The following is a 12,286-nucleotide window of genomic DNA, read 5'->3' on the forward strand; positions in this document are numbered from 1 at the left end:
ACTTACAAGGGATATGAAGGACCTCTTCAAGGAGAACTACAAACCACTGCTCAATAAAATAAAAAGAGGACACAAACAAATGGAAGAACATTCCATGCTCATGGGTAGGAAGAATCAATATCATGAAAATGGCCATACTGCCCAAGGTAATTTATAGATTCAATGCCATTCCCATCAAGCTACCAATGACTTTCTTCACAGAATTGGAAAAAACTACTTTAAAATTCATATGGAACCAAAAAAGAGCCCGCATTGCCAAGTCAATCCTAAGCCAAAAGAACAAAGCTGGAGGCATCACACTACCTGACTTCTAACTATACTACAAGGCTACAGTAACCAAAACAGCATGGTACTGGTACCAAAACAGAGATATAGACCAAGGGAACAGAAAAGAGCCCTCAGAAATAATGCTGCATATCTACAACTATCTGATCTTTGACAAATCTGACAAAAACAAGAAATGGGGAAAGCATTACCTATTTAATAAATGGTGCTGGGAAAACTGGCTAGCCATATGCAGAAAGCTGAAACTGGATCCCTTCCTTACACCTTATACAAAAATTAATTCAAGATGGATTAAAGACTTAAATGTTAGACCTAAAACCATAAAAATCCTAGAAGAAAACCTAGGCAATACCATTCAGGACATAGGTATGGGCAAGGACTTCACGTCTAAAACCCCAAAAGTAGTGGCAACAAAAGCCAAAACTGACAAATGGGATCTAATTAAAATAAAGAGCTTCTGCACAGCAAAAGAAACTAATCAGAGTGAACAGGCAACCTACAGAATGGGAGAAAATTTTTGCAATCTACTCATCTGACAAAGGGCTATTATCCAGAATCTATAATGAACTCAAACAAATTTACAAGAAAAAGACAAACAACCCCATCAAAAAGTGGGCAAAGGATATGAACAGACACTTCTCAAAAGAAGACATTTATGCAGCCAACAGACACATGAAAAAATGCTCATCATCACTGGCCATCAGAGTAATACAAATCAAAAGAACAACGAGATACCATCTCACACCAGTTAGAATGGCAATCATTAAAAAGTCAGGAAACAACAGGTGCTGGAGAGGATGTGGAGAAATAGGAACACTTTTACATTGTTGGTGGGATGGTAAACTAGTTCAACCATTGTGGAAGTCAATGTGGCGATTCCTCAGGGATCTAAAACTAGAAATACCATTTGACCCAGCCATCCCATTACTGGGTATATACCCAAAGGATTATAAATCATGCTGCTATAAAGACACATGCACACGTATGTTTTATTACAGCACTATTCACAATAGCAAAGACTTGGAACCAACACAAATGTCCAACAATAATAGACTGGATTAAGAAAATGTGGCACATATACACCATGGAATACTATGCAGCCATAAAAAATGTTGAGTTCATCTCTTTTGTAGGGACATGGATGAAGCTGGAAACCGTCATTCTCAGCAAACTATCACAAGGATAAAAAACCAAACACCGCATGTTCTCACTCATAGGTGGGAATTGAACAATGAGAACACATGGACACAGGAAGGGCAACATCACACACCAGGGCCTGTTGTGGGGTGGGGGGAGGGGGAAGGGATAGCATTAGGAGATATACCTAATGTTAAATGATGAGTTAATGGGTGCAGCACACCAACATGGCGCATGTATACATATGTAACAAACCTGCACGTTGTGCACATGTGCCCTAAAACTTAAAGTATAATAAAAAAGTATAGATTTAATTTTTAATATTTTGAATATTATGAATACGTTTTCTGACAGTTTAGATAATGAAAATGAGAACAATTACAATACCAGTGCTAGCATGACTCAGATTTCTCCAAAAAGAGGGCTAAATATCCATATTACTTTAATCAAAGGAGAAAATATACATATAACTGGACTTGGGAGGGAAATGATGTAACAGGAATACTGGAAATAATTTGGGAATGAGCAGGAAGGAGAAGAAGATATGAAAGCACATATGAAATCTAAACCTCACAAGTTTAGAGTTAGATAGGCTAATTAAGATTTTTTCATCTCCCAAAAAGATGATTCTCAATAAAAAAAATAGCAGCCACTGAATTAATGTGGGCATTGTTTGCAAATGAACACACGCTATTGTTTCATTTCCTATATTGCCCTATGAAACTGAGTAAAGTTACATTTCTTGACTCAGATGTATCAACTAAAATGTTTTATGGGTAAACAAAAGGAGATATTTGAAAACAGATATGTTGACCCCCTACAGTGTATAGCTGATTCTGTCAGATTATACCAACAATCATACTTTCTATAGTATATCAAGTGATAAGCTGAATCTTGGCAAAAATATTTTTTAAAAACCTGCTATCTTTTGCTCGTACATACTTCTACTTGAATAATGCAGTTAGAAGTTGTTTTCTTGATTTTTATGAAGATTTTAATAAAAATTCAGTAAATGTAAAAAAAAAAATTGTTGATAACTTGTCCAAATGCAATCTGAACTTTGCTTAGAAATCTGCATATTTGACCAATGGGGCAAATGTAAACTTTTGCAAGCTTCATTCAGTCTGTAAACAGTTTATCAAATAAAATGGAAAGATCTTACCTGATAAATGCTCTGTATACCTTGTACACAACACTGTTAAAAAGAAATGTTATTGATTTCCTGTGATATTGAGGATTTATAATGAAAAAATTTTTATTACTTTTCTATTTCCTCAAAATGTGTAAAAGCAGTTAATGATTTTCTACTTTATTGAAATAAAAGGAGATAGATTTTCATGTGTCTGCTAGATGACTGTCTTTGATTTCCTTGATATTAAAATGTTGGCCTATTGTAAAATAATATTTCAAAGTTTGAGAAAAAAATGTTCTCCAATTTCTCAATATCTTTACTCATATTGTAACTTATTTGGAATCCAACTCTGATTTTACAAGTTCATATTCTCTCTTTGTATTAAAACTGCTTTCCCAGAGAGATTTAAATGATGATGAAATCCAATGTGCTTCTAAGTGATTAAAAATGATGAACATTTTAGACATTCATAGTCAATATTATGATTTATACAAAAAGACCTGATTGGCAAACAGTTCATTTATCAAAACAAGGCTATAGATAGAAAGTGGATGACATTATTGTCAGTGTTTCAGATTTTAGCAATTCTAATAGGTGTGTAGTTGAAATATCTCATTGTTATTTTAACTTGCAGTTCCCTGATGAAATATGATGTTTTATATTCTTATTTTCCATCTGTATGTATTTTTTGGTGAGGTTCAGATATTTAATGTATTTTATAATTGGGTTGTTTTATAATTGTTGAATTTTAAGAGTTCTTTGCATATTTTAGATACAAATCCTTTGTCATCTGTATGGTTAGCAAACATTTTCCCTTAGTCTGTAACTTATCATTTCATTCTCTTAACACTGTCTTTTCACAGAGCAGAAGTTGGAAATTTTAATAAAGTTCCACTTAGTTTTTTTCATGACTTATGTTATTGTAGTATATTTAAAAATTGATCCTCAAACTCAAGATAACTTGACTATATTTTTGTAGGTTTAATTCTGGGATCTCCAGTACGTTTCATTGATTAGTTTGTCTCTCCTTTCACCAGTATCACATTGTCTTGATTACTGTCACTTTATAGTTTGTGATGTCAGGTAGCATCAGTTCTCCAATTTTGTCCTTCATCTTTAATATGGTGTTAACTATTCTGAGTCTTTAGCTCCTCCTTATCCATGGTTTCACTTTGTGATTTTAGTTACCCACAATCAACCACAGTCCAAAAATATTAAATGGAAAACTCCAGAAATAAATAATTCATAAGTTATATATTGCACACCATTCTGAATAGTATGGTGAAATCTCACACTGTCCCCTCAGGACGTAACTCATTCTTTTGTCCAGTGTATCTGCACTCTATACCATACTCGCCTGTTCATCATTTAGTAGCCATCTTCAGTTATCAGATAGACTGTCCCAGTATTGCAGTGCTTGTGTTCAAGTTACCCTTATTTTACTTAATAGTGACCCCAAAGTGAAAAAGTACTATGCCTAATTAATAAATTAAACTTTATAAAAGATATGCATGTTTGGGTACAAAGCATAGTGTGCATAGAGTTTAGTACTACCCACAGTTTTATCTGTCCATTGGGATCTTGGAATGTATTCCCTGTAAATAAAGGGAAACTATATTTTTGAGTAATTTTGTTAATATTCGCAAGATAACATACAGAATTTGAACTGAGATTGTGCTGAATATATTGATCAAGTTGGGGAAACTGACATCTTAAAAATACTGAGTCTTTTTATTCATGAACATGAAATGTCTGTTTTTTCATGTAAATCTTCTTTGACTTCTTTTATCAGAGTTTTTTTAGTAGTCTTCATATAGGTCTTATACATATTTTGTAGGTTTATGACTAAATATTTAATTCATAGGATGTTAATGTAAGTGGTATTGTGTTTTTAATATTGATTTCCAATTGTTCATTGCTGGTATATAGTAAAAGAATTGACTTGTGTATATAATCTTACTTTCCGCAATCTCACTATAATTGCTTATTAGTTCCAAGGGGTTTTTCTTGCTGTTGATTATTTGGAATATGCTAAATAGACACTTATGATATCTGTTAATAATGATGGTTTCATTTTTTCCTTCCAATCTGTATATTTTAATTTCCTTTTCTTGTTTTATTGCATTAGTTAAGACTTTCAGTATGACGTTAAGAGAGGTGAAAGGAGATATTCTTGCTTCATCCCTGATCTTAGAGAGAAAGCATCTAGTTTCTCGTCATTAATTATGATGCTATCTGTAGGTTATGTTTTACTGTTTGCTCTAGTTGTAGATTTCAGAGGCTAAAATTTCCTCTAGTTCCCTTTTTTCTCCCTCCCCCGCTATTGCTCTAGGGTTTTCTTAGAGATGCCTTAAATAGGGTCTAAGACTTGCAGTTCTTTCAACATAATCTCCTGTATTACATAGATGTGGTGGTAAAGTGTGGGATTAGGGAAAGCGTTCTGTAGTTTCATTATTAGGTCTCAGTCTTTGAGGGTAGCCTGTGCCCCTGGGCGGTGACCTTTACAAGTGATCCTCCACTTTTCTTTTTCTCCTCTTACTTACGTGAGACAGGAGAGCAAGAAGGAACTGGAGCTGAGTATTTTCCTCTCCCCACGTCAGTTGAACGTTGATAAAACCCAAGACAAGATGCTTGTACTCTGGCAAAATTGTTTCCCTTGAGGGCAGACTTTTGTTAAGAAAAACAGAATGCTCTGGACTTACTTTATAAATGCCTGTTTTCTACTCTGCCTATTCCAGAGGCATGAGAGGATTTTTATCTGATCTTCATCCTGAGAACCTAGTGGGGCTTTTGAATGTGAAACTCACAAAAGTGTGGGGATGATCCTCCCCAGAATGGGACCCTTGAAGCTTTTAACTCCTAAGTTTGCAGTTAGTGAGGGCTCCAGTGGTGAACTTCTGCTCTTGGGCTCTGTTCCTGGTGAACTGTGAATCTCTTTATTTACCTGACTCTCCTATCAAAGTTTTGAACTGTGGCTTGACCTACAATCTCAATTCTTTGATGGATCCAAGAAGAGTTGATTTTCAGTTTGTTTAGCCCTTTCCTCACTGTAAAAGTGGGGGTCATAACATCCAAACTCTTATGTTGTACCAGAAACCACAAGTCTCCAGATGACATTATTAAAAAGCTGAGAAGTAATCCCTATGAATTGCAAAAGCCTGCTGTTGTTAGTAAGTAAAATACTAAGTGCTTTATTGCCCATTGCCTTTGTTGAGAGGATATTTAGTTTGATGTTATCTTAATGGGCTGACACCAGGTATGAATGTAATGTGGCTTTGATAAGAGAAAAGCTCAAGTCAAAGTGAATTTTATGTTTGACTATATTCAGTTTTGTTACTACATAAAAGAAAAAAAAGAATATACTAACGGCTATACGCAGATCAGAGAAGTGTTACTGGAAAAAGAGACAGAGTAAAGACATCCTCTTACATTACAGGACAGGAAAAAAGTGTTATTGTTTTTATTTTTTATTAAAGATAATATCTTTTAATTACTCTGATTGCATTTATATTCACCTTTTAAATGTTTTAAATTTATGTATGCTAAGACTATAGCCTACAAAATATAAATATCCAATTCAGAATTTTCTAAAAGTTAAATTGCTATTTATACATATAAGAGGACAGAAAGGAACATTATGAAAATAGTTATATTTTCCACACATTATTTATTTAATTAGTCTAACAATTACTACTAATTGTCACTGTTACTTTATCCTGTTACTGTTTTGTTTAAATGCTGAAATAATAGCATTTATGTAACAGAACATTAAATAACAGAATAATACATAATTTCAAACAAATATACTGTTTTTTTACATTTGCATGTTAATGTAATAACAGTGGACAATTATATAATATGCACTATATTACAATATTTTAGGCCTGATATTGCTATATTCTGGGCTGGCTCTCTAAAATTTGTTCACCCTATATGACCTTCACTCTAAGAAGTATCAGCTTTCTGAAGGCAATTTGGAGCAGGAGGCAACAGGCTAAGGACTAGTGAAGGAAGTACATCATAGTATGCCCTACAAGCCTATGCCAAGAGCCTATCCAAGTCCATAAAGTATATATCAATGTCATTAGATTTTAATGTAATTTAAAAATAGATTAAAAATCCTATTAAATATTGTTAGCTTTCTTCAGTACTTCAGGGAATAGAGACAAGGGACTCTACATATGCTTGGAAAATGGTGGTAAAGAGAAGAATATATGCTCTACATACCAGCAGAGGCCCAAGATGAAAATCAGGAGGAGGCATTTATCATCTCTGAGTCTCAGAGGGAAGGATAAAAACAGGTTACTGAGGACAGGTTGGTGTTGACCAGGAGGCCAATCATATATGAGACACAGAATCTAGAGCATCACCGAACCAGAAGAACACAGAAGGGCTTCTCCATAGAAAGGGTGGCAGCCACAATTGTTTAAGAATGACCTGTCAGAACATGTGTGGTCTTTATAAACTCCTAGAACTACCGGAAGGAGTAAGAAAGCTTGAAGAACTTGCATGGGTGGGAGTAGGGTATAAAGAAAGAGAATAGGTTGCTATAAAGTTGGGAGCTGCAAGCCAGCAAAAACATGATAAACATATTCATATGACCTTATTTGCACATAGAGAAGGATAAGCTTAATGACATTTAGGTATCTGTATCTATAAGGTTAGCCCTTATTAGTTATATGATTCAGATCCTTGTATTAGACGTATGTTACTTGTTCCTGCTCAGCTTTCTTTTCTTCCTTGGAAACAAATATCTTAATTTTCCTATCCATGTGGTTGGAATGAGACTGACCCTACCCTAGCCCCAGAGTTAAGCATCTGTCCTGGTGCTAGCCAATCAGGATATTCAGTATTCAGTCATAGATATTGAATCACAGAAACTCACTCAATTCATAAGAGGAAAATATAGCCGCAGGTATTTGCTAGAATTGTTAGGAAAAATAAGGTCTCTGTATATTTATATTCCCAGTTATACATATGATGTAAACATGAAGCTATGTATAGAGACCCAAAGACAAAATACAATAATGCAGAACCTAGAGGTAAAGAAGGAAAAAGGGAGAGAGCAAGAGCAATAGATGGGGGTGGGTGGGGTCTCAGCAATAATAAAATCAAAAGTTTCCAATCTTTGGACTTTCATCCACAGATTCGTTACTTGGATCCGTTTAAGTTTTCTTTATTTAAGTTTCACCTAATTTAGCTTTCACTTGAATCCATAAGACTTGTACCACAACCCTCTATATTTACTTCGAAAAATCAAGGACTGATACAGATTAAAGTCTTGCCATGTTTTTTTGTATTTCTTTAAATTTATTATGTTTCCAACAGTTTTTGCCTTATATATTTTATTACAAGCTGCCTAAAGGTTTATGGTCATGCTATCTTCCACAAAAACTTCTTGTTATGTGTCCTTTAATTTATTTAACCTGGAACTCTAGTTTATTTAATATTACTATGAATCCCAATTCCTTTTGTTTACATTTGAATGTTATAATTTTGCCCATCCTTTTTGTATCTCGACCTTGTTAAATCCATTTTTCTTGAGTCTATTATAGACAGCTCGAGATTGAGTTTTGTTTTGTAATGCAAACTGAGATTGCATGTGTATCTGTTTGTAGATTACATTGTTTCATTTTCAATTATTTCATGACCTCTTTATTGTCTCATTTTTGTCATTTTGTTCTATTTCCTGGCTTCCACTTGATCTGAATATAAATTATTTTTTATAATGCTGAATTCTAACTGCTAATATTTTAAGAATCTTTGCATCTGTATTCAGGAGGGATATTTGTCTGTAGTTTTCTTTTTTGTACTGTGTCTACTTTTTGTATCAGGGTAATACTAACTTCACAATATGAATTGATAATTATTCCTTCATTTCAAGTTTCTGAAAGAGATTGAGAAAAATTTTTCTTAATTCTTTAAACATTTGGTAGAATTCTCCAATGAAGCCATCTGAACTTGGAGATTTCCTTTTTGGAAATTTATTAATTACAAATATAATTTCCTTACTAGTATTAGGATACTTCAAGTTATCTACTGAATAGCGTGTGAGTTGTACTCATTTTTGATTATTGAGAAATTGACTCATTTTGCTTACATTGTCAAATTTATAGTGTAGAGTTTTTTGTAGTGTTCCTTTATTATCCTTTTTATTTCTGCATGGTCTGTATTGTTATTTCCTGTTTCATTCCTAATATTGATAATTTCTGGGTTTTTTCTTTTCCAGTTTTGCTAGAAGTTTGACAATTTTATTGACATTTCAAAGAACCAGGCTTTGTTTCACTGATTTTCTCTATTGTTTTTCTACTTTCAATTTCATTGGTTTCTATGGTTATCTTTATTATTTCCTTCCTTCAGCTCCGTTTGGAATTATTTTTCTCTTCTTTTTCTAGCTCCTTAAGGCCTGACCTTAGATTACTAATGTGAGATTTCTCTTTTAATGTATGTATTTAATACTACAAATTTCCCTCTCAGCACTACTATAGCTAGGTCCACATCTTCCATTATATTTTCATTTTTATTCAAGTTCAATGCATTTTTTTAAGTTTCTTTAAGACTTTCTTCTTGAGTCAGGGGTTATCTAGAAGTGTCTTGTTTAGTTTCCACGAGTTGGGAGACTTTCCGGCTACGTTTCTGTTATTTTCTGGGTTAAAAATATTAGGTATATTACTCAGGTCCTTGTTATACACATATGCTGTTTGTTCCGGCCTAGTTTCCTTTTCCTCTTTGGAAACTAATACCTTAACTTCCCTATGTAATCATCCTATTCAATGTGTGTGAGAGATGTAATTTTTATGGTTTTAAGTCTTTTAAGTTTTTTGAGATTTATTTGTTGCTGCAGGATATGGGAACTCCCTCATAAGCTGCTCATTGTACAACTACTTTTTTGGTACATCAGTGTGGCAGTGTATTAGTCAGGGTTCTCTAGAGGGACAGAACTAATAGGATAGATGTATATACGCAGGGAAGTTTATTAAGGAGTATCAACTCACACAATCACAAGGTGAAGTCCCACAATAGGTCATCTGCAAGCTCAGGAGCAAGGAAGCCAGTCTGAGTCCCAAAACCTCAAAAGTAGGGAAGTTGACAGTACAGCCTTCAGTCTGTGGCCAAAGGCCTGAGAGCCACTGGCAAACCACTGGTGTAAGTCCAAGAGTCCAAAAGCTGAAGAATTTGGAGTCTGATGTTTGAGTGCAGGAAGCATCCAGCATGGGAGAAAGGTGAAGGCCAGAAGACTCAGCAAGTCTGCTCTTTACATCTTCTTCTGCCTGCTTTATCCTAGCCAAGCTGGCAGCTGATTAGATGGTACACACCCAGATTGAGGGTGGGTCAGCTTCTCCCAGTCCACTGACAAATGTTAATCTCCTTTGACAACACTCTCACAGACACACCCAGGAATGATACTTTGCATCCTTCAATCCAATCAAGCTGACACTCAATATTAACCATCACAGGCAGTTTCTTAAAAAATAAAACATATATCTACCATATGACCCAGACATTTCACTCCTAGGTATTCAACCAAGAGAAATGAACCCACATGTCTATACACTGATCTGTTTACAAATGTTCCTGCTAGCTTTATTTGTAATAGCCCAAAACTGGAAGCAACCCAAATATCCATCAACTGGTAAATGAATAACAAATTGTGGTATGCTAATGCAATGGAATACTATTGAGAAATAAAATGAATGACTTATTGATACATGCAACAATATAGTTAAATCTTGAAATAGTTACTCTCAGTGAAAGAAGCCAGACAAAACAAAATTACATACTTCATGGTTCTGTTCAAATATAATTTTAGAAAACAATTTATAGTGACAGAAAGCATGATAGAAGTGGTCATATGAAAATGTGTGGGGTATATGAAAAAAGGCAAGAGGGTGAGTTAACATATAAAACTTTTAGGGTGATGGATATGTTTATTACTCTGATTGGGTGATTTCACTACTCGTGTCTGTGTGAAGAGACCAACAAACAGGCTTTGTGTGAGCAACAAGGCTGTTTATTTCACCTGGGTGCAGGTGGGCTGAGTCCGAAAAGAGAGTCAGCGAAGGGAGATAAGGGTAGGGCCATTTTATAAGATTTGGGTAGGTAAAGGAAAATTACATTCGAAGGGGGGTTGTTCTCTGGCGGGCAGGAGTGGGGATCACAAGGTGCTCAGTAGGGGAGCTTTTGAGCCAGGATGAGCCAGAAGAAGGAATTTCACAAGATAATGTCACCAGTTAAGGCAGGAACAGGCCATTTTCACTTCTTTTGTGGTGGAATGTCATCAGTTAAGGCAGGAACCGGCCATCTGGATGTGCACCTGCAGGTCACAGGGGATATGATGGCTTAGCTTGGGCTCGGAGGCCCAACATTCCTGTCTTCTTATATTAACAAGAAAAATAAAACAAAATAGTGGTGAAGTGTTGAGATGGCAAAAATTTTGGGGGGTGGTATGGAGAGATAATGGGCGATGTTTCTCAGGGCTGCTTTGAGCAGGATTAGGGGCAGCGTGGGAACCTAGAGTGGGAGAGATTAAGCTGAAGGAAGATTTTGTGGTAAGGGATGATACTGTGGGGTTGTTAGAAGAAACATTTGTCACGTAGAATTATTGGTGATGGCCTGGATATGGTTTTGTATGAATTGAAAAACTAAACGGAATAAGAGGAGAAAAACAGGTATTAAAGGACTAAGAATTGGGAGGACCTAGGACATCTAATTAGAGAGTGTCCAAGGGGGTTCAGTGTAATTACTTACTTGGTTGGCAAGTTTTTGGGCTCTATCCTTGAGTTTTTTATGTTGTCATACACCAAGCCAGATTGATTTAGGTGAAAACAACACTCTTCATTTAAGAATATACAGAGTCCTCCTTTTTCAGCAGTAAGTCAAGGTCTCGGCGGTTTTGGAGGACAACTGCAGCTAAAGAGTCAACTTGGGCCTGGAGGACTGATAAAGTTTGTGATATGTCTGTGATGCTAGCAGAGAAGTCATTAGAAAGGCTACGGAAGGTCGTGACAGAAGTCGAAATGCCTGCTATTCCAGTACTGAGAGCAATAGTGGAGGCAGAAAGTCCTAAACCGACAAGCAAGGGAATTAGTGGAATAACTCTTTTTTGTCGTGTCGGTGTCATGAGGGGAACAGGGAGCTCTTCGGTCCTATTTGCAATTTGAATTTTGGGAGTAAGGAAAACTAGTGTGCATGTGCCTGTCCAATTAGCAGGTAGACACATGTAGGTAGAGGATCTACAGAGGAAGAAGAGACCTTGTGCGAAGCAAAACTGGAGATGCAAAGTAAAAAAGATGAGAAGGAGTGCTGAAAGAGGTGTCTTGTACCCAGACTCCTAGGGATCCACCTAGGGCGGCAGCCGTCAGAGGTTGTAATGGGGACTGATGAGGTAACTGCGTAGAGGGGGAGGTTCGATTTTCATGGTGTATGAGAAAACGTTGAGTGTCTACGAGCAACCTTTCACTGTTATTTTTGGGGCTGGGTATAAGTAAACAAGAAGAGGACTTTGGAGATGAAGAGTAAAGGAACATCAAGAAGGTGAAAGGTTACCCAGGGGAATTCCAGTGGGTCTTTGCTGAGAGATACATAAAGGAGCAGCCACAGGAATAGTAGTTTGTGTTGTGAGAGGTCCAAATATGGGGGAAGTAGAGTTGATATAAGGAGAAAGGTTTTTTAAGTAAGTGCAGAGGAGGGCGGCAGATTGCTGATGTGAAATGTCTGGGAAGGTCTTGCTGG

This window comes from Homo sapiens, chromosome 3 (assembly GCF_000001405.40).
Source record: "Homo sapiens chromosome 3, GRCh38.p14 Primary Assembly".
NCBI classification, from domain to species: domain Eukaryota; kingdom Metazoa; phylum Chordata; class Mammalia; order Primates; family Hominidae; genus Homo; species Homo sapiens.